Genomic DNA, 21,547 nt, shown 5'->3' with positions numbered 1-21,547 from the left:
TTAAGTGTACAGTTCAGTAGAGTTACATATACTCACATTGTTCTGCAACCAATCTCCAGAACTGTTTCATATTACAAAACTGAAATCTATGCCTTTTAAACACTAACTTCTCATGTCCCCTTTTCCTCAGCCCCTGGCAACTACTATTCTACTTTCGTTTCTGTGATATTGACTACTCTAGACATTTTATGTAAGTGAATTACATAGCATTTTTCTTTTGTAATTGACTTATTTCACTTAATATAATGTCCTCAAGTTCATCTATGTTGTAGCAGGTGTCAGAACTTTATTTATTTTTAAGGCAAATAGTATTACATTGTATGTATATATGAATTTTTTAACACATTCATCTGTTTATGGACATGGGCTGCTTCCACCTCTTGGCTATGGTGAATATGCTGTTATGAGCATGGTTGTACAAATATCACTTCAGGACTGCTTTCAAATCATTTGGATATATACTCAGAAGAGGATTGCTGAATCAGATGGTAATTCCATTTTTAATTTTTAGAGAAACGACTAAACTGTTTTAGCATTTTACATTCCCACCAACAATGTACAGGGATTTCAATATCTCCACATCCTGACCAGCATTTGCTGCTCTCTCTTGTTTTTTAATAGTAGCCATTCTAATGGGTATAAGATGGTATCTTATTGTGGTTTTGATTTGCATTGCTTGTGTTTTTTATTTGCATTTTCCTAATGATTAGTAATGTTGAACATCTTTTTGTATGTTTGCTAAACAAAAGGCCTGCGCCCGTTTTTGAACTGGGTTGTAAATAAATACATAATTGAAAGTAAAAGATAAAAAAAGTTTAAATAAAAATTTAATGAATTAATATAATCACAATAATATAAAATCTACTTAAAATAATGTAAATCAAAGCCTTAGAATAAGGGATGCTAAATCCACAAAGAAACTAGGAGAAAAATAAATTTTGTTTAAAGAAGCATATGAAAGATATAAAAATAGGTAATTAGGACATCAAATATTTTATGCCTATCCAGTCTGAACAAAAATAAAAATAAATGAAATACAAAAAAAGATAAAATGTTGGAAAGAGAATCAAAATTTTTAAATATTTAATAATAATATAAAAACATAAACTAGAAATACTTTAAGAAATTAAGCAGGTTAAAATGTTTCTCTAAGAAAAAATAATCTTGTAGAATAATTAAAATGTTCATTATCAGCTCAGAATTTTAGTGGAAAGAGGAGGGGTAGAAAATGATAATCACAGGCAGCTGTTCAAAATCTAAAAGTGGCTAAACTAAGAGACAAAACAGAACTTGATAATCCATGCTTGTTGTTCTCAATGGGTTGAAATTCAGTACAACAAAGTCCTAAGAAGTGAATTCACTAGTAAGGAACCAGGAAAAATTCTGAAAAGAACTGCCATTGGAAATCTTCCTATACCTGCTTACCCAGAGTACTCATAGACTCTAAGGCTTCCAATAAAATGTAGTATTGTATAAGTGTATGAAGTATTTGTTTGTCACACATTGTGGATAATCTGTTCATGAATCAATGCAGATTTCATATATTTAATAGTTGTAGATTTTCATTTCTGTTCAAATTTAATGTTTGTCTTAACAAAGCAAATAGAAAATAAAAATTATAAAAATATGATTAAAATAATTTGTAAGAGCTAAGAAAATATGTTTATATAGAGACAATATCTTCCTTTTAATTAAATAAATTTTCTTTCAAAAATTATTTTTATTTCACAATTGACAAATATATATTTTTAAAGTAGAGTAAGATATTTTTTATTAGTGCTATGGTTTGGATGTGATTTATTCCCACCAAAACTATGTTGAAATTTGATCTACCATGTAGTGGTGTTGAGTGGGACTTAGTGAGAAGTGTTTGAGTCATGGGGGCAGATCCTTTATGAATAAATTAATACCCACATATAGAGGTGAGTGAGTGCTCTTCTTGCAAGAATGAATTAGTTCCCATGAGAGTAGGTTATTAAGAGTCTGGCTTCCTCAGTTTCTCTCTCTTATTTCCTCTCTTGGCACGTAATCTCTTTGCATACACCTGCTCCCTTTCCACTTTCTATCATAAGTTGAAGCAGCCTGAGGATTTTGCCAAATGCAACTGCCAAATCTTGAACTTTCCAGTCACCAGAATCATTACCCAAATAAACTTCTTTATAAAAATAAATTATCCAGCCTCAGGTATTCTGTTATAGCAACACTAAATGAACTAAGACAACTATTTCTTTCCAGTGCATTCCCTCTTGGTTTTTTTGGAACACTAGGATCCTATTTAGTGAACTGTTAATGCTCATGCATAAAATGGCCATGATGGCCAAAGAGTTAATGCCACTCCAGAAGTGCTGACTTATTTCCAGTGATCAGTGACTGCCTTGAAGGAATTGAGCTGAATGTGGTTGCAATTATAGACTAAATGGTTCTTAAAGGAACAACTCTTCCATGACAGATGTGTGACAAATAACTATTCCCATAGCACATTATGAACCCACAAACTTCAGCTCAATTTTTTCTACTAGTTCATCTATGGGAGAATAAAGGGCCAGATTGTACCATTTAATAGTCTTTCCTTGCTGGCCTTATTGCTAATGAGGGGATGTGGGACAAGACATTCTAGAGAAAGCTGAAGGCCTCTTATGCTTATATTGCTATTTTATGATGTCTTACTTGAACGATTCATGTGGTTATACTCTCTGTTGAAGTAGTTGTTCAAGAGATTACAGTTTCTATGCTTTTAATGACCAAGTGAGCTAAGAAAGAAGTCAGAATAAGAACTTTGGTGTCAAAGTATCTCCGTTTCCAAAGCATTTGCACATTAGTGCACCAGTCATCAGGTTATTCTCCCATTGAACAGTTTTCTCTTCTACTCTTTCTCAATTTGACAATCATTCTATCCTGTAGTGAAACACACGGTTCCATAGAAAAAGGTAGAAAATGCTTTCAGTTTTCTCAATAAAAATTGAACTCCAGTTTTTATTAGAGGAATTCCAAATGCTGGAATTTGTGGGAAGGACTTGTAAGAAATCATGGCAAAGACATATAAATGTCATTTCCTGCCCGCTTTTTCCCATTCCCTTATACTTAAATTAACTTGAGGAATAGCAGGTTAAACATAAAGGACTATTGCATCAATGTTACCAAGTTTAGTATCACTTTAAAATGTATTTATCTCAATAAAAATCAGGTTTTTTTATATAGCTGAGCAAATATTCATCATAATTATTTAGAACTTTTTATTACTTTCACACAAAAAGTAACATATTTTGATAAAATATACAAATTATATTTTTAATATATAAAACTATAATTTAAAATACTGTTTTTATTGGGTGATTTTCCATTTCCTAAACAATTATGGAAAAGTAAATAAATGACATCCTTCTAAACTCATAAAATCCCAACATGCTATTATTATGTATGTGTAAATGGTCAATTGTATAATTTTTCTCTCCTTTCATTCCACTTTCAATTAATATGTCTCTATTCTCAACAAAGACAACTGTTATCTGTGATTTCCATCTCTTATCCAAATATTTTCTATTTTATACACATTTATGATGCCTTTTTTCTTTATTTCTTGTATATAGCTTGTTTCTTCTCACAGCATATTATTCTTACCAGTATACTCTTACTATGTTCTACCTCTGTATTGTCTATCTCTTGCCTAAGTAACTTAGTCTATTTTTCTGTAGCAGTTAATATGAAAAAGAATCAAAATCATGACTGAATTTAATATACACTTTAGAAAATGTTTTCATTTAAGTATATATGACATATGAATTGGTTCAATTTTAGTAGAAGCTGTCAGTTATTAAAATGGTGGTAATGTCCATATGAAAGGGTTTCTGTTACTGTGCATTCTCACCAGCACTTAGTATTGTCAGTTCTTTTAAATTTTTTAAGTGTTTATTAAAGTTTATTACTCCTTCAGAAAACTGCAAAAATCTTTTAATAACATGTGTAACATTAGCTGAATATATGAATAAGGGCATAGAAATCCAGCTCCTGATTAAAAACCTATGTGTGATCTTTCAGGCCCAATCATAATCAATTACAAAGCTTTACCTGGCAAGCCTCAAGGGGAAAGCTGCACTCTCTGCAACAGACCTATTGCACAGCTAATGCATTCTGGTCTCTGAAGGAAGTTGGAATCAAAGATTCAGGCCCATTGGCCAAACTCTTCCCATATTTGCATTCCTAGCCTGGTGCCTTCATTTCTAAGCCTTTTTATCTGAGGCTTTAAGCAGAGGTCTCTTCAGGCTCCTCTGCCAGGGCTTCCTTATGGAAAAGAAAAAGGATACCTTGAAGACACCTTTCCCCACTCTGACTCAGTGACTCAGTACCCAATACTTTTCCACTCACAGGCCTTCCTCCATTACACTCATCATCCACCCCCAACCTCATGGTCCAAAAAGTGATTGGAACCTTTTGTTTCAAGCTTCTTCAACAGTCAGATGACCGCAAACTCTGCACTAATCTACCTGACCCCTCCACCCTCCAGGTAGCAGCAGTTACATGGCAAGAGATGGAACATGGGGAGTTAGTGCTTTCTCCAGATTGGACTCTTGCTTATACCATTACAGAAAGTGATTACAGGCTTAAATGTTTCATTTAGGGCTTGCTGTTTTAATTGGATAACTCCAACACCTGGCAGCCCAGATCTTTCTCCCAGCACAGCCAACCTCCTGACAGAGCATTTTACCAAGAGGATAAAGGGTGTGTTTATATTTGAAAAGTTACATATGACTAAAATTCACTAAACATATAAATTGCATGTCAGGTTCAATGAAAGTCTAATAATATAAATATGAATACAAATCTATCCGTTCTCTTAGAGAAAAGCATAATAAACTACCCACCATTTAGGAAGCTTAGAGCTACACTAGCAGAATTAACAAAACAAAGCCTATATAGAAAAGAACAGTGAAGAATTTTCTAATGAAGGATTGGAACTCCTGGTATGTATACATGGCATCTGAAGTAGGTTTTGTAAAGGATAAGTATAATTTTTTCAGATTATAAAGAGGCAGGGTATTTTAATCATATCAAAGTGTATGTACCAAAAAAGGCATAGAAGTAGATAAACATGACATGTTGGAATCAGCAGTAATCTAAATGAATGATAGTTTTATTAAGTAAAGGGTGTGAAAAATGACGATACATATGTAATGTTAGAAGCCAGATGATGGCAGGGATTCTAATAAAGGGATCAATTTTTTCTATAGAAAATATTAAGGCTAGAAATTGGTTAGATTATTAATACTATTTGATTAATTTTTAAGTAAGCTAATAGCTAACATTTGAGTGTAAAGTCATATCTTTAAAACTTAGAATTCATAATATATAATTACAAATGCATCCATGCATCCCTTTGTGCCATTTGTTTTAAGTTGTATAGAAACACCTTTTTCTGTGTTTTCCATTATTAATGAAAAAATATTCTGTTTAATTTATAAATAATATCAAAATATTAAATACCATTAACAGGATTCTTTCACAGACTGTTTTTGTTACAAATATGAACTCTAAAAGATTTTCCAGAACACTCACTATGTTAAAGCTTAAAACAGTAGTATTGTATAACTTGGAATATTGTTGAGAATAATAATATTTCTGTATAGATTTACATCTCTTTTGGACACTGGTTTCTCTCTGCAGGTGGAAACGTTTCTCTGCCTTCTGTTGTAGCTCTTTGTGAACACGTTTTATGTTTTAAACTAAATTATTAAGCCAGTGATTGTGACACTACATGGTTTTCATTGTGGTGCTTCTTTACTGCAGCTTCTAATACAAAGTCATGAACTTTGGAGATGCTCAGGAGGCTCATTAAGTACAGATTAGATAGCAGGATAATATGGAAATGTACAGAAGGGCTGCACTATTCAGTTAAGTCACCGTATCTCTCCTGTTACCAGTTTACCATTCCACGTTTTTCACACAACACTAGATGATTTCATCTACGAATAAACTGTACCATTCTCAACTACTCAGTAAAATAATTTTATCCTGACTCATATTCAAACTCCTTTCCACAAATATCTAATTGGACATATCTCCTGAACCTGTATTTTCAAGTTATAACTGAATGCTAATTTTTGACTAGAAAGAAATATATCAAATGTCATCGTCTCCTCTTATTCATGTTGATTCTGTTTGATTCTCCTGCAGCTTCCAATAATAGAGATTGTGATCTCATTTGTGAAACATCTATTTCTCATTAATCATTTGTTAATATACTATTGATTACCAATTTGGCAATGCTCTGTCTAATGAGGAGAAGACGAGGAGGAGAAATAAAAAAAAAGAGAAATTTCCTCCTGGAGTTTACATAGTATAGAGAGCTTAACATTCCCTTTCCTTGACTTTTTTCAAAGAAATCCTACCTGGATCAATCGCTTAGCTTTGAAATGTTTTATTTTACTTCATTGAGAGAAACATGCTTTGGATCATAATTTATCAAATATATTTTACCCTTCATTTATACGTACAAACCTATAGTGCCAAGTTGTTTTATTTCTGATACTGTTGTTGAGTCACGTAGGGTTAATTTAGTGGGAAGAATAGTTTCAAAACAGTAAATAAACATTAGTCTCTGTCCTAAGTCAATAATTACTTTTTTAAAAAGTTCTAAGTAGAGAGCTTTTTCCCTTTTTACTGAAAAATAAAAACATCTTCAAAATCGCTTATATGAATCACTTTTCAAATGTAAAATCTTAATGTTTCTCATAAAACACCAAGTACAGATGCTGACAGGTATGAAATTCAAAAGTTATTTGGGATTTGATGCTCAGAAGGTAATTGCATGCTGTGTATGTTGAACTCTAAATTGGGTTGGGCTCATCTGTATAGATTCACAGACAAGAATTAAAGTCTTGAAGGTAAACTCATTGTCCTCTATCAATAACCAGAAATATGCCTTCTTTGAATCTGATATTCCCTGACATTCTCCTGCATTAATGTGTTGAAGTCAGATAAATCTTTAGGTTACTTATTTTGAACTGTTGGATTCTAGAGTACTGCTTCAGATTTCATTTTTTTTAACCATAGTTCTTTTTTTATCAGAAGGTTATTTTCTTAGAAAAATATATGCAAGCATTGTCCTTTGAAATTTTTCTCGGGTGTTGAATGTTAAGTACATATTTTTAAACTAATAAAGCTGTTACTAATAAAAGTATAGCAGAAGATGTTATTCCAATTAAAAGGAATAAAATTGATTTGGAGAAAAGTCAAAGTTTAAGGAAGGTTTGATTTTGTTGGAATTAGAAACAAACAAAGTACTTCATATCTGTAAATGTGTTATATAGTGCATGTCTAAAAGAGTTATTATTTCGGTTTGGTAAGATTATGAGTTTTTATTTGGTGGAGGAGAATATTAAAGTGTGTGACTCCATTTTTATTATTGCCAATGGCTTTCAAGCCCTAGTATTTACCCTTCCTTGCTGCCCCACATCCGGGAGAACTGAGAAGAAAACTCAATTGGTTTCCTTTGGTGCTGGCAGGGAATTCAAACCATGTGATCTTCCTTAACACTAATGTTTCTTGGTGTATTTTTTGGTGTATTTATTGTCTTATTTCATGAGGTAATGTTTACTTAATTTTGATCACAATATTTTGTGGGGATTTTTAGGCAAGTGGATTTCTTAGATGAACTTTAATATAGTTTTCAAAAAATAGTATGAATTAAAGACATTTGTAGAGAGACAAAAATGTTTAAAGTTATATGTTGTGGAATATTATTTAAAAATTTAAGAAAGCAAAATGGACATGCTAATTAGTTTGACTTAGTCTTTCCACAATGCATACATATATCAGAACACCATGAGGTAGACCATAAAAATGTATAATTTTTTATTTATCAATAAAAATTAAATACAGTAAAAAGCAAAATGCTTTCTAAAACATACTCTCTTTGGTGGATCCTGTATTAAAAAGAGGTGGCCACCTCAAGACCTAAAGTACATCATATTGTAACTAAATGGTGCTACTGTATTTTCCAAACTCTTTCATAAGCATCCTACATAGGAAGCATGTAACAGATGAACAGTAACAACCTCAGAGCCAATAATTAGTAGTGCCTTTACTAGTACTCAGTATTTAAGAGAGAGTTAATATTAACTCAGCATTAGGAGATTTATTTTCAAGTAACAGGCAATCTGAAATCTAACCATTTTATTTTTATACCAAATACTGAGTTTCTTGTTTATTTAATGTATGTCATTACGTATAGACTCCTTGTCCTCAAAAATACAGCATTTGATGTTTGCAATGAGTAAGGTAAAAACTTGTAAAGGGCTTCTATGGTGTTTTCTTTTCATTTTCTAGTTTTCCTTTTTTTAAAGTTCAGAGAATGTCTGTGACAAAACATCATTGTGTAATAATTTTTGGTTTTTCAGGTGCTTTTTTGGATATTTACATTAATCAATTTGGGGATTCTGTGACAAAATGTAATTTGCAAAGACTTGACCTAAATTGATTTTCTATGAAGCCAACTTTGAAACAGAAATCAACATGCAGAAATTATATCGTGGATTGCTTTGAGGATACACATTGTATAGATTAAAAGAATCAACATTAGGCTGAGGGAGGTGTTTGGTGGCAATTCAGTCACAGCAAAAAGTGCAGCCAACCCAGCGAGGGAAACTGTAGCTGTGATAAACCACCAGTGTTGTCCCAAATTTGGCAAAGGGGGCTGGACCTTAATAAGTCTCATCAACAGTCACTGGACATGAGCTGCTCTTGAGAATAAGACATGACATTGCATGAGGTGGCTTCTTCAATTGAAGGAAATCTCCAAAGGAATACTCAGCAATGATATGTCAATTATTAACACTCTTGTCAGCTGGGGAAATGAATGCTTTAGTCCTGAAGGAGGGGAAGGGGATGAGTAACCATAGTATCCCCTACAATCCAACCACTGGACCTCTTAGTTGCACTTGGCTCACATAATTTCAGGGAACAGTTCTTTTAGGATTCTGAGGGGTGGTGTCTAATATAATGATGATTAATGAAAAAATATAGCCAATGCCTAACTTTGCAACTAGGTCTCATAATCGCAACTGATATTCACCATTTTTTTTACTCCGTATTCCTGTTTCTTCTCACCATTGGATAGTATTGCTGCTTGATCAGTGGGGTAACCCAAACAGACCCTCATCCCTGAAGGGTCAGAAACTTTGTGTTTCAATTATCAGTGTATTGCCTTTCATCCCTAATACACTCTTTAATGTATACTGTATGATAAACCAATTAATTATTTTAAGTATTTCTTCCTTAAAGAAAGAACAATGTTAAGCTTTCTTAGGAGAGTGATCCAAAGGGATTTGCAGAAGGAAGGGGCTCTCCTACTGTGCCCAGTGCTGGCTAGGGATAGATGGTAGGGATATAAGGGCAGCCATTCTTTCTGACCAAAGCAATTCACATAGAATATTTTCCCTCTTCAACCTTGCAGCCTTGGCCTGGCAGTAAATTATCTGTAGCTCTTTTGACACAGAAACCAAAGTCCCTGTGTGATCCATGCGATCTGAAGGCCTCCTGCCCTGGCCAGCACCTGAAGTCTATCTGCAAGCCCCTACATGACCTGCATGCTCTAAAGGCTTCCTCTCTCCACCAGCACCCAGACTTCTACTGCACACGCATGCCACCAGGTGTTAATCACCTACTCTTCCATTTGCATTGTGGAGGGTGGCCTATTACTTATACAACTCATGACTAGCTCTGATCTGGTCAAATCAGAGAAACATTCTGCTATCTGGTGCACTATCCAATAAGATCAGAGGCCCTACTATGATTGTTCTTTTTTGATTATTCTCTCTGAACTCTGGGATATCATAGTTTCCTTATACCTTGTAGTTAATCTTTTATCAAAGTTAATAATACATATTAAAATTATTCTGCTTAACGTACTATGTAGCTTCTATCTCCTGATTAGACCCAGACAACTATACCCTACTCATGATAAGATTCAGGTCTTTCCTGTCTGCATTATATAATGGTATCTATACATCATATTGACAATAAAAATCCACTGTTTCACCTACTACAAGACAAGACTTCTAAATAGAGTTCAAAGTTACAAAAATGAGCAGTAGAAATCCTTTAAATTGGTCACTGAGACTGATAGTAAGTTAGGCCACTCTTCCTTATATTGCTTAGGTTCTAAGCTCCATGTATTCTACTTTTGTGGAAAAAAGAGCATAGTATTGTCATTGATGTAAAATGTGTGCTACATCCTAAATGATGGGGGCCCATTCATGAAGCCTAAAACCTCTGACTTGGCACATCAACTGTTTCTGCTATAGGCATGCAGTTTAAATAGAAATAAAATGAATAGCCTAAGTGCTACTATTTAGTCACATCCCTCTCTCTACCTGACATAGGTAACAAAAATCCTGAAATTTGTGTTAATCATGCCTTTGATTTCTTTATAATTGATCACCTATACAACTATTGCAAAAATAGTAAGTTACTTTGATTTGATTTTTTTTAAGTTTCATATAAATTAAGTGATGCAGTGCATTTTTAAGATGATGCTAGCTGCCATAACAAGCAAATCCTAACATATCTAATGGATGAAAGCTATAACATTAATTCCTTACTCATGAGCTACAAGTGTTTCTGGCTGGTGATGACTCTTCTCCAAGCAATTATATATGAAACCCAGAAACTTTCAATTTTGTTATTCTGCTATCTTCAAAAATTTATTTTCAATGTCAACATACTTGTTCACACCAGGCGAAGTAAGGGGAAGACCAAGGAGAATCAAATGTGACAAGTTTTTAAGGGCTAACCCTGGAAGTAGTATATATCAATTTACTCGAGTTGCATTTGCTACAACCCATTTACACATTTACTCATTTAAGGAAATCTGAAAAACACAAGGGGAAGAGGAGGAGAATGAGGCATAAAATGGATCAGCAATCAAAAACCAAGAAATTTATTAAGATGCCTTATTACTATTCTCTCCTAATGCTGGCTGATGACTAAAGTAAGCCATAATTTATTTAATTAAATTTAAACTTATTTAAATAAGCAAATATATGCTCTATGAAGCCTGCAACCTCTAGCCTATAATGAAGACGAAAGTTCTGTTGAATGGCTTGTTCAGGAGCCCAGCGTTGCATATTTTGATAAGTGAAATGAGTGACATGGCCACTATCAATAATGTCTGGAATGATAAAGTATATAAGGGGTGTCCTGGTGATGGCTTGTATTGTGTTCTCAGTATATGCAAAGACATGTTACTTTGATTTATTATTTGAGTATCTATGGGGCAAGAAATTTCCAGAATTCTTTACTCTTTTACTCTGTAACAATGTACAAATGAAGCTGATTTGTACATTGGCCAGGACATCCAGTACTAAGACTTCCGTCTGAAGTTTGGCGAATTGTGCTGAGCCTTGGGTGCTGTCTTTTATCAGGGACATCCCTGTTAAGGAATGAAAAGCAATAGCTATCTAGCAAGCCCCATCATGATGGCACTTCCGTCCTTAAAGTATGCAAATTCCTATTGTTGTACAGGCAGTTAATCCCAAACAGTTACCTACGTAGCTAAGTAAACTGGGAAAGAGATGTCCTTTTCTAGAACCACAGCATCTAACAAGAGACTCAGAATAGGGGAGGCCACCCCTTCTTACAGGTGAGAAATGCTGGAAGGCTCAGGATTAGGTATAACTGGTAGCAAGGAGGTGTCAGGAGCCATGCTGAGCTTGTAGGGTGCTGCTTCCATGAATCCAAACATAATGGACAACTCAGTATGAAGGGGCATTGTCTCAGAACCTGTAATATCCTCTTATGCCAGGAGAGAGCTCAGTGTGTGGCCAGGGATTGCCACTCCAATGCTGTACAATGCAGAATCAATGAGGGTAGTTTATTGAATAAGAAATATATGGACAACTTATGGCCATAAATGTGTGTTTGCAATCCATAACAGCAGACGCTATGCCTCTGTGGCAAGGAGTCTCTGGGGGGCACTAGAGGGATGGTCTGTTATATCACAATTTAGATAGATTCTAGAGCCCTTTGTTGGAAGGAGTCCATTCAAGTTTCAAGGTGGGACAATTTGCAAGCAACAGTGTAAATGGGGAACATGTTGCCTCTAGAACCCAAAAAACCTTAAAAATTCAGGGCCCTGTTTTACCACTGTGGGTGCTAAGAGGATCAGTAACTGTTTCCTGACACTGTTAGCATGGAGTCACTCTTGGTTTACCAAACAACTTTCAGAAATTTACCCTAGGCGGAGGTCTTGCACTATGTGTGGGACAATGGCTCATCCCCATTTTACATACTTCTTTATAAGTATATATGTATCCTGAATGAAAATGCCAAATGAATGTTTTTGGAGGAAGATGTCTTCAGTGTAATGTCATACCTGTGCTCCTGGAGAGAACTCCATGAAGTTAAATTCTTACCTGAAAAGACTGTGTGCAGTTGAGCAAGGTTGTTCAGGTACCTCAGACGTAAATGTATGCTGCGTCCCTTCAGAGGTGAAAGCAATCTGCTGCTGAGAGGCTGTTGACACAGACATTGAACAGAGCATATTAGCCAAATCAATAATAGCAACATATTTAACAGGTAGATTGAGTTAGTAATTTACACAATATTGAATATGAGGGCCTTAATAGGTAGAAGACTAGTATTAAGATTTCAGTAATCCACAACGAAGTATCATTGATTATTTCCAAGATTAAGAATAAGCCAATTGGATTGTTAAATATAGCAGCAGTAGGGGGAACAATTACTCCTTCTTTATCTGGGCTTTATATAATAAAATTCAATTCTTGAAAGCCCTGTTTTAATTTACTTTGGGCATATTAACTTTTTTAATTTAGGGAATTATCCCTGGATCCCATTTTGTCATGCCAATTTATAAGATCCAAAGACTTAATTTATTTTCACTTTATTACTCATTGGATCACAGTGTTTATATCCACTATGGGATATTTAAGGGCAATAGGTGATATGACCATGGAGAACTCAGGCAAGGGAGTAGTTCAGGTAAGGCATAGCTATTTTTCCTCTATTTTATATGCTGCAACTCCGCTAAGATTAATAGGCATTACGTTGTTTAAGTTTATGGAGTCCCTAGGTATAACTGTAATTCTAGCCCCAGTGTATTGATTAAGTCCATGAAGGTTTGCAAGTTGATGCACTTCAACAGATTTTGACATTAAATCTACAACCTACATTATAAGGGAGAAAAAGCCTGCAACCAACAGTGATCTTTTATCTTTTTGTTGTATAAAATTTTTTAAGATTTATTTTATTGCTGATTGACACATAAAAATTATACATATTTATGGGGTCTAATATGATGTTTCAATACATGTATTCATTGTGTAATAATTAAATTAGAGTAATTCATATACCCATTACATATTTATTTAACATTTATGATTTCTTCATGATGAGAACATTCAAAAGCCTCTCTTCTAGTTATTTTGAAATACACATTATTGGTAAATATATTCACCCAACTGTGCAATAAAAATCCAGAACTTATTTCCCCTATCTAATTGTAGATTGTACCCATTGACCGACTTCTCCCTATCCCCTCTATCCCATATCCAGCCTCTGGTAACCATTATTCTACTCTCAACTTCTATGAGATCAACTTTTTAGATTCCATATATGAGGGAGTGGTATGGTTTGGCTGTGTCCCCACCCAAATCTCACCTTGAATGGTAACTCCCACAGCTTCCGCATGTCATGGGAGGAATCCAGTGGGAGGTGATTGAATTATGGGGGTGGGTCTTTCCTGCACAGTTCTGGTGATAGTGAATGAGTCTCATGAGATCTGATGGTTTTAAAAATGGGAGTGTCTCTGCACAAGCTCTCTCTTGGCCTGCTGCCACCCACGTAAGGTGTAAGTTGCTCCTCCTTGCCTTCTGCCATGATTGTGAGGCCTCCTCAGACATGTGGAACTGTAAGTCCAATTAGACCTCTTTTTTTTTGTAAATTGCCCAGTCTCGGGTATGACTTTATCAGCAGCATAAAAAAGGACTTATACAGGGAGATCATGTACTATTTGTCTTTCTGTGCTGGCTAATTTCACTAATTTAAATTCCCACCAACAAGGTACCAAGGATCCCTTTTTTCCACATCCTCCTTTTCTCCACATCTTCAAAACATTTGTTATCTTTTGTCATTTTTGATAACCAACATTTTAACTGGAGTGAGACAGTTTCTCATTGTGGGTTTGATTTGCACTTCACTGATAACTAGTGCTCTTAAGCACTTTCTCATACTCCTTTTGGCCATTATGTCTCTTTTTGAGAAATGCTTACTTAGGTCTTTGGTCCATTTTAAAATCAGGTTATTTATTTGTTTTTGTTAGTGAGTTGAATCCCTTATATATTTTTGATATGAACTCCTTATCAGATGTATAGCTTGTAAATATTAATATATTCTATCATATGTTAATTTTTACTCTGTTAGTTATTTTCTCTTTTTTTGGTCTATTTTTGCTTATTTTTGCTTTTGTTTCCTATGTTTTTGAGGTGTCATAAAAAAAAAAATTCTTGCTCAGACTAAGGTCATGAAGTTTTTTTCCTGAGGTTTTCTGGTAGTTTTATAGTTTCAATCTTACATTTAGGTCTTTGATATATTTAGAGTTGATTTTTTATATGTTGAAAGATATGTATCTAATTTCATTCTTCTGCAAGTGGATATTTAGTTTTTCCAACACCATTTATTGAAGAGCTTGGTTTTCTCTAATGTGTGTTATTGGCACTTTTGTTGAAAATCAGTGGGATGTAAATGCTTGGGTTTATTTATTGATGTTTCATTCTGTTCTATTTGTCTGTGTGTCTTTTTTATGCCAGTATCATGCTGATTTGGTTACTTACAACTTTGTAGGATATTTTAAGGTCAGGTAGTGTGATATCTCCACCTTTGCTCTTTTTGCTCAAGATTGCTGACTCCTTGAGGTATTTTGTGTTTCCATACAAATTTTAGAATTTTCTTTGTATTTCTGTGATGAATGTTATTGATATTTTGATAGGGACTGCATTAAATTTGTAGACTGCTTTGGATAGTATATATATTTTAGCAATAGTAATTCTGCCAATACATGAACACAGGATATGTTTACCTTTATTTGTGTCTACTTCAGTTTCTTTCATCAATGTTTTCTAGTTTTTACTGCAGAGATCTTTCACCTCCTTGCTTAAATTCATTTTAAGTGTTGTATTTTTGTATCTATTTGAAATGGAATTGTTTTCATTGTTTTCTTGATTTTTTTTCAGATAGTTCACTATTAGCATATAAAAACACTACAGATTCTTTTTTTTTTTCTATCCTGCAACCTTTCTGAATTTGTTTATTAGTTCTAACAGTGTTCTTTTGTGGTCTTTAGGGTTTCCTATATATAAAATCAGATCGTTTGCAAACAGGAAGAGTTTAATTATTTTTTTCCAATTTGAATGCCTTCTATTTCTTTCTGTTGCTTAATTGCTCTGGCTAGAACTTCCAGTAGCAGGTTGAACAGAAATAGTGAAAATGGGCATGCTTACCTTGTTCCAGACCATGAAGGGAAAGCTTTCAGCTTTTCCTCATTCAGTATGATGTTAACCATTGGGTTGTCACATATGGAGTTTATTGTGTTGACATACATTTCTTCTATACCTAATTTTTTGGGAGGTTTTCAATTAAAAAGTGATAATGGATTTTGTCAAATTCTTTTTCTGCATCTATTGAAATGATCACACCATTTTTGTTTTTCATTCTGTTAAGGTGATACACCAATTTATTAATTTGCGTATGTCAAAACATACTTACGACCCTCGGATGAATACCACTTGTTCATGGTGAATTATCTTTGGATGTGCTATTGAGTTAGATTTGCTAGTATTTTGTTGAGAATTTTTGCATCTCTGTTTATTAGGGATATTGAACTGTAGTTTTCTTGTTTTTGTTGTCTCATTGTCTGGCTTTTGGATCAGGATAATAGTGGCCTTGTAGAAAGAGTTTGGAAGTATTCTCTCCTACTCTATTTTTTGGATTACTTTGATCAGGATTCATATCAGTTCTTCTTTAAATGTTTGATAGAATTTAGCAGTGAACCCATTAGAGCTTGAGATTTTCTTTGATGGGATATTTATTTATTTATTTATTTTTACTACTGATTCAATCTCCTTACTTGTTATTGGTGTGTTCAGATTTTCTGTTTCCTCATAGTTTAATGTTGGTAAGTTGTATGTGTCCAAAAATGTATCCATTCCTCTAGGTTATCTAATTTGTTTGCATATAATTGTTCAGAATAGTTTCTTATGATCCTTTGTATTTCTGTCGTACTAGCTGTAATGTCTACTTTATTATTTCTGATTTTATATATTTGATTTTACTCTTTTTTTTCTTAGTCTAGGCCAAGATTTGTCTTTAAATAAATAATATTTATTTAGTTGATCTTTGAGTTGTTTTTCTAGTCTCTATTTTGTTTATTTCTGCTGGGATCTTTATTGTTTCCTTCCTTCTACCAATTTTGGGTTTAGTTTGTCTTGTTTCTTATTAATTTCCTGAGATGCAACAATAGGTTATTTATTTGAAATCTTCCTTTTTGACATAAGTGTTTATTGCTATAAACTTCTCCCTTAGAGTTTACTTTTGAAGTATTCCATAGGGTTTGGTATGCTGAGCTCCCTTTTTTATTATTTCAAGAAATATTTAATTTTCCCCTTAATTTCCTTAATAACCCATTTGGCCATTAAGAACAATGTTGTTTACTTTCCAGGTATTTGTGAAGTTTCCAAAATTATTCCTGTTGTTGATTTTTAATTTATTTTTAGTTTTATATTAATGTGGTCAGAAAAGATGTTTGAAATTATTTCAATCTTCTTAAATCTTTTAAAACTTGTTTTGTGGCCTACCATATAATCTATCCTAGAGAATGTTCCTTGTGCTCGTTAGAAGGAAGGGTATTCAGCAGTTGTTTGGAGAAATATTCTGTAACTGTCTGTTAGGTTTACTTAGTCTAGAGTACAGTTTAAATCCTATGTGTTTTTGTTGATTTCCTGTCTAAATAATCTGTTTATTGCTGAAAGTGGGATGTTGAAGTCTCCTACTATTATTTCGTTGCAGTCTATCTCTCCTTCATATTTGCTTTATATAGTTAGATTCACTGATGTTGGGTGCATATATATTTACAACATGCTCTTACTGATATTATAAATCTTGAAGATTTTACTCCTTTCTTATTATATAATGACCTTCTTTGTCTTTTTTATTACAGCTTTTACATTAACATCTATTTGATTTGATATAGGTATAGCTACTCCTGCTCTTTTGGTTTTGGTTTATTTGAAATATCTTTTTCTATCCTTCACTTTCATTCTATGTGTGTTTATACAGGTGAAATGAGTCTCTGGAAGGTAGAACAAAGTGTTTATTTATCATTTATTTAGCCACTCCACGTGTCTTTTTTTTTTTTTTTTTTTTTTTTTTTTTTTTAAGGCAGAGTCTCACTTTGTTGCCCAGGCTGAAGTGCAGTGGTGCACTTTCAGCTCACTGCAACCTCCACCTCCTTGGTGCAAACAATACACCTGCCTCAGCCTCCCGAGTAGCTAGGATTACAGGTGCCACCATCATGCCTGGCTATTTTTTGTATTTTTAGTAGAGACAAGGTTTCACCACGTTGGCCAGGCTGGTGTCAGACTCCTGACCTCAAGTGATCCACCCGCCTCAGGCTCCCAAAGTTCTGGGATTTGATGTGTGAGCCACCGTGGCTGGCCCACTCCAGGTCTTTTAATTGGATAATTTAATGCATTTACATTGAAGGTAATTACTTCTAGGTATGAGTTTATTGCTGCTATTTTGTTATTTTCTAGTTGTTGTGTATATTTTTCTTTCTTCCTCTATTATTGTCTTCTTTTAAAGTTAAGTGATTTTCTCTAGTAGTTTGTACAAATTCCTTGCTTTTAAATTCTTATTATATCAATTGTAGGTTTCTCTTTTGCGGTTAATTTGAGGCTTACATAAAACATCTTATAACAGGTTACATTAAGCAGATAACCACTTAATATTGATTGCATAAAACAATTCATACAAAAAATCCTCCATGTGTTAACTATACTCCCTACCTATTTTGAATTATTGATATCACAATTTTCATCTTTTTATATTGCATATCTCTTACCTATTTATCCTTATTATTTTTATAGTTTATTTTTTTACCCATCATACTAAGAATCTAAGTGATTTATGCTCCAACATCATATCATTAGTGTATTCTGAATTTCACTGTGTATTTACTTTTCTTTAAGAGACAGAGCTTCACTCTGTCACCCAAGCTGGAGTGCAGTGATATAATCATAGCTCATTATAACCTCAAACTCCTGGTTCAAGTGACCTTCCCACCTCAGCCTCCTGAGTAACTAGGAATACAGGTGCAAGTCATCATGCCAGGCTAGCTTTTTTTTTTTTTTTTAAGATGGAGTCTCTCTTTTTCACAGACTGGTCTCCAACTCCTGGCCTTAACCAATTCTTCTACCTTGGCCTCCCAAAGTGCTGGAATTATAGGTGTGGGCCACCATGCTCCACTAGTATATTTACTTTTACTAGTGAGTTTTATGCCTATAGGTGTTTTCATGTTACTCATTAGCATCATTTTCTTTCAGCTTAAATAGTTCCCTTTAGCATTTCTCATAAGTCAGTACTAGTGCTAACACATTCCCTCAGTTTTTGTTTTACTGGGAAAGTATCTCTTTCTATTTCTAAAGGGCTGTTCTTCTGGGTATAGTATTTTTGGTTGGCAGGGTTTTCTTTTTATCACCCTTAGCACTTTAAATATATTATTCACTCTTTCCTGCCCTGTATGTTTTCTGTTGAGAAGTCTACTATTATACATATTGGAAGTCTGTTATTAGTTATTTGCTTCCTTTCTCATGATGCCTTTAGGATCCTCTTTGTCTTTGACAATTTGATTATATGTCTTAGGGTATTTTTCTGGATTGAATCTGATTGGTGACTGTTGGCCTTCCTGTACCTGAATATTCCTATTTCTCTCCTAATCTGTAAAGATTTCTTCTATTAAGAAAAACAAAGAGAAAAACGAACTTCTTTCTACTCTTTTTTCTTTCTCTATTCCCTCTAATAGGAAAGTGTTATAGGAAAGGGTCTTAAACTCCAATAACACATTCATTTGCTCTTTTGACATCTTACTAATCTCATAAGCTTTCCTCATTTCTTTATTCCTTTTTCCCCTCTCTTGAGTTCACAGATATTTTCCTCTGCTTAATTCTGCTGTTGTTCTCACTTGCATTTCTTCATTTCATTCATTGTATTTTTCAGTTCTAGGATTGCTATTTTTATTATCATTTCAACTTTTCTGATTAATTTATCTGATAACCTTTCTTCAATTGTTTATTAGTGTTTTTGTGAAGTTCACTGAGCTTCTTTAAAAGAAATATTTTGAATTCTTTGTCTGGCAAATTACACATCTCCATCCCTTTAGGGTCAGTCACTGATATCTTATATTTTTCTTCTGTTGAGTCATATTTTCCTGTTTGTTTTTGATGCCTGTGGACATATGTCAATGTCTTCACGTTAAATAATTGAGCTTTTATTCCAATCTTCTCAGTCTAGCCTTGTTTGTGCCTGTCTTTCCTCTGCAGGCCTGCCCAGAAATTCTCAGCAGAATATGCTCCTTAAGCTATGACTGCTGCAGCTGTTTTAGTACTCGAGGGTGTCATAAGCCCAGGTTTGCCATGAGTCTTGCAAGAGTTGTTAAGTTGTCAGGATGCCTAATCCATGATGGAGTTGCAGAAGACCCAGGGGGAGGGGGTACCCAGGCTATGTGGGAAAGCTAGGCAGGGATCAGTGGCCCTGATGGTCATGCCTCCTGTCAGTTCCCTGCACAGGTGGGACAGTTTCTAGAGTTCATTGAGAGGAGCTGGAGACTGAACTGGGAACTTCAGGATCTTCTGTGGGATGAAGACTGGTGAGTCTGCCCTGGTAGCCCTGATAGGGACACATCTCCCAGAAGTTTTCTGCATAGTTTTCTGACTGCAGCAAAAAGGTCCTGAGCTGAAATTGGGTCCCCTTAGGATTTACTATGAAATGGAGTTTGGCAAGCCCATCGTCAAAGCTCAGACAAATAGGAAACACCCAGGTTGCAAGATACAGGAAGGTCTTACTCTGGGTTTTTGTGTAAGCAGTACTAGCCTGGTACAATAGCTAAGGGTACTTAAGCAAGCCACAGGGTGACTTCCAGATTCACTGCCAAGACAAATGTCAGTAGGCAGACAATCCTCTCTACCAAGGCACTAGTGTGCATGATTTCTCCTTAGTCCCTTGACAGATGGTTTTAGTTGCAGGTTCAAGGTCATAAAGGTCTGAAGGCAGCCTTTTGGGGACTCTGGTTATTTCTAGGCTTGAGCTAGTAGCACAATTTGCAGGTCTGCCACCTGGGTGCAGGTCTTCACTCTCAAAATGACCCTTTTAGGTCATGGGCTACACCTGGGTTCCACAGGTTCCTCCCTGAGTCCTGAGGCTTCTAGAAAGAGATTCTTTTTTTGTGGATAGGTAAAGAATTCTTGTTATGAGGGGATATAAACAGATGACTTCTATCCCATCATTTCTGTTGTATAAATTCTTGTAATAAATGTTGGATTTCTAATTAGATCATATTGTGGAACTTCATTCAGTTTTTTTTTTTAGTTTTGTTTCTTTCCTTTATATCTGTTTCCTTTTTGTCTTTCTTTTTAAATATTTATTTATTTTTAGTCACTGGTTGTATTTCTGTGTGGAAGGGCACTCCACCATGCTCATACTTATAAATTTCTTCCTCCTGAAAGTATCAAATTCATATCATCAGTTTAACAAACTCCTCCATGAAAATGATTGCTTTATAGAGTTTAATGATCCTGGATTATAATTGGGATTGGATCATCTCCTTTGCTGTGCCATGGGGATGCTATGCATGTTTTTTTTCTGTAACTGAGAGAGTCAGGGTGTTTGTCACAGCAGAAGCATGGCAACATCAGCAGATATGTAAGAATCCTGGTGAGTCCCTTGCTCTTAGAAGTGGGGACTTTAGCACACCACGTAATAGCTGTTTTATTTTCCTTTTCTTTTGTTCCTTTTTTTTTTTCATTAACTTCCTAATGAGTTCTCTTTCAGAAGCGACAACCTGATGGGTCCATATCTCCCACTGTGTGTCTTTCCTTTCAGTGCTATATAGATCAAGGGTCAATGCTTGGTTAAGATATATAATCAGTTGATCACAATCATTCTCCTGAGCATAGTATCAGTCATGACCTCATTTTAAATTATAGAGATAGGTCCAGACTGAGACACATGACCCAAAGCCACTTTAAGAAGGGCTCTAATCCTATTTGTCTTTAAATACCAAATATAGAAATTTCTGACTTAGGTCAGCTAAATCTATAACAGAGGCTCAGTAGGACTCAACAACAAAACACAAAGCTGCACAGCTCAAAGGACAAGCTAGCCAGCAGGTAGTAGCTCCAAGTACATGCTTGCCATCAGGTAAGATCAAGCTAACAACCATCAAGAAGAGGCAGTTAGCAAGTCAAAGCAAGAAAATAACATCCTC

At 34.6% G+C, this 21,547-nt stretch overlaps 1 long non-coding RNA gene across 1 annotated transcript in view; it reads right to left on the bottom strand.

The window, feature by feature from the left end:
- Positions 1-21,547, bottom strand: part of LINC02770 (long intergenic non-protein coding RNA 2770) — a 278,575-nt gene that overhangs the window by 217,737 nt on the left and 39,291 nt on the right. Inside the window, exon 5 of the long non-coding RNA NR_186758.1 lies at positions 12,408-12,507. This is a non-coding gene — a long non-coding RNA (long intergenic non-protein coding RNA 2770). The remainder of the gene's footprint in view (positions 1-12,407; positions 12,508-21,547) is intronic.

The sequence above is a fragment of the Homo sapiens genome, chromosome 1 (genome assembly GCF_000001405.40).
Source record: "Homo sapiens chromosome 1, GRCh38.p14 Primary Assembly".
Classification (NCBI taxonomy): Eukaryota; Metazoa; Chordata; class Mammalia; order Primates; family Hominidae; genus Homo; species Homo sapiens.
This window is presented reverse-complemented; position numbering and strand designations above follow the sequence as displayed.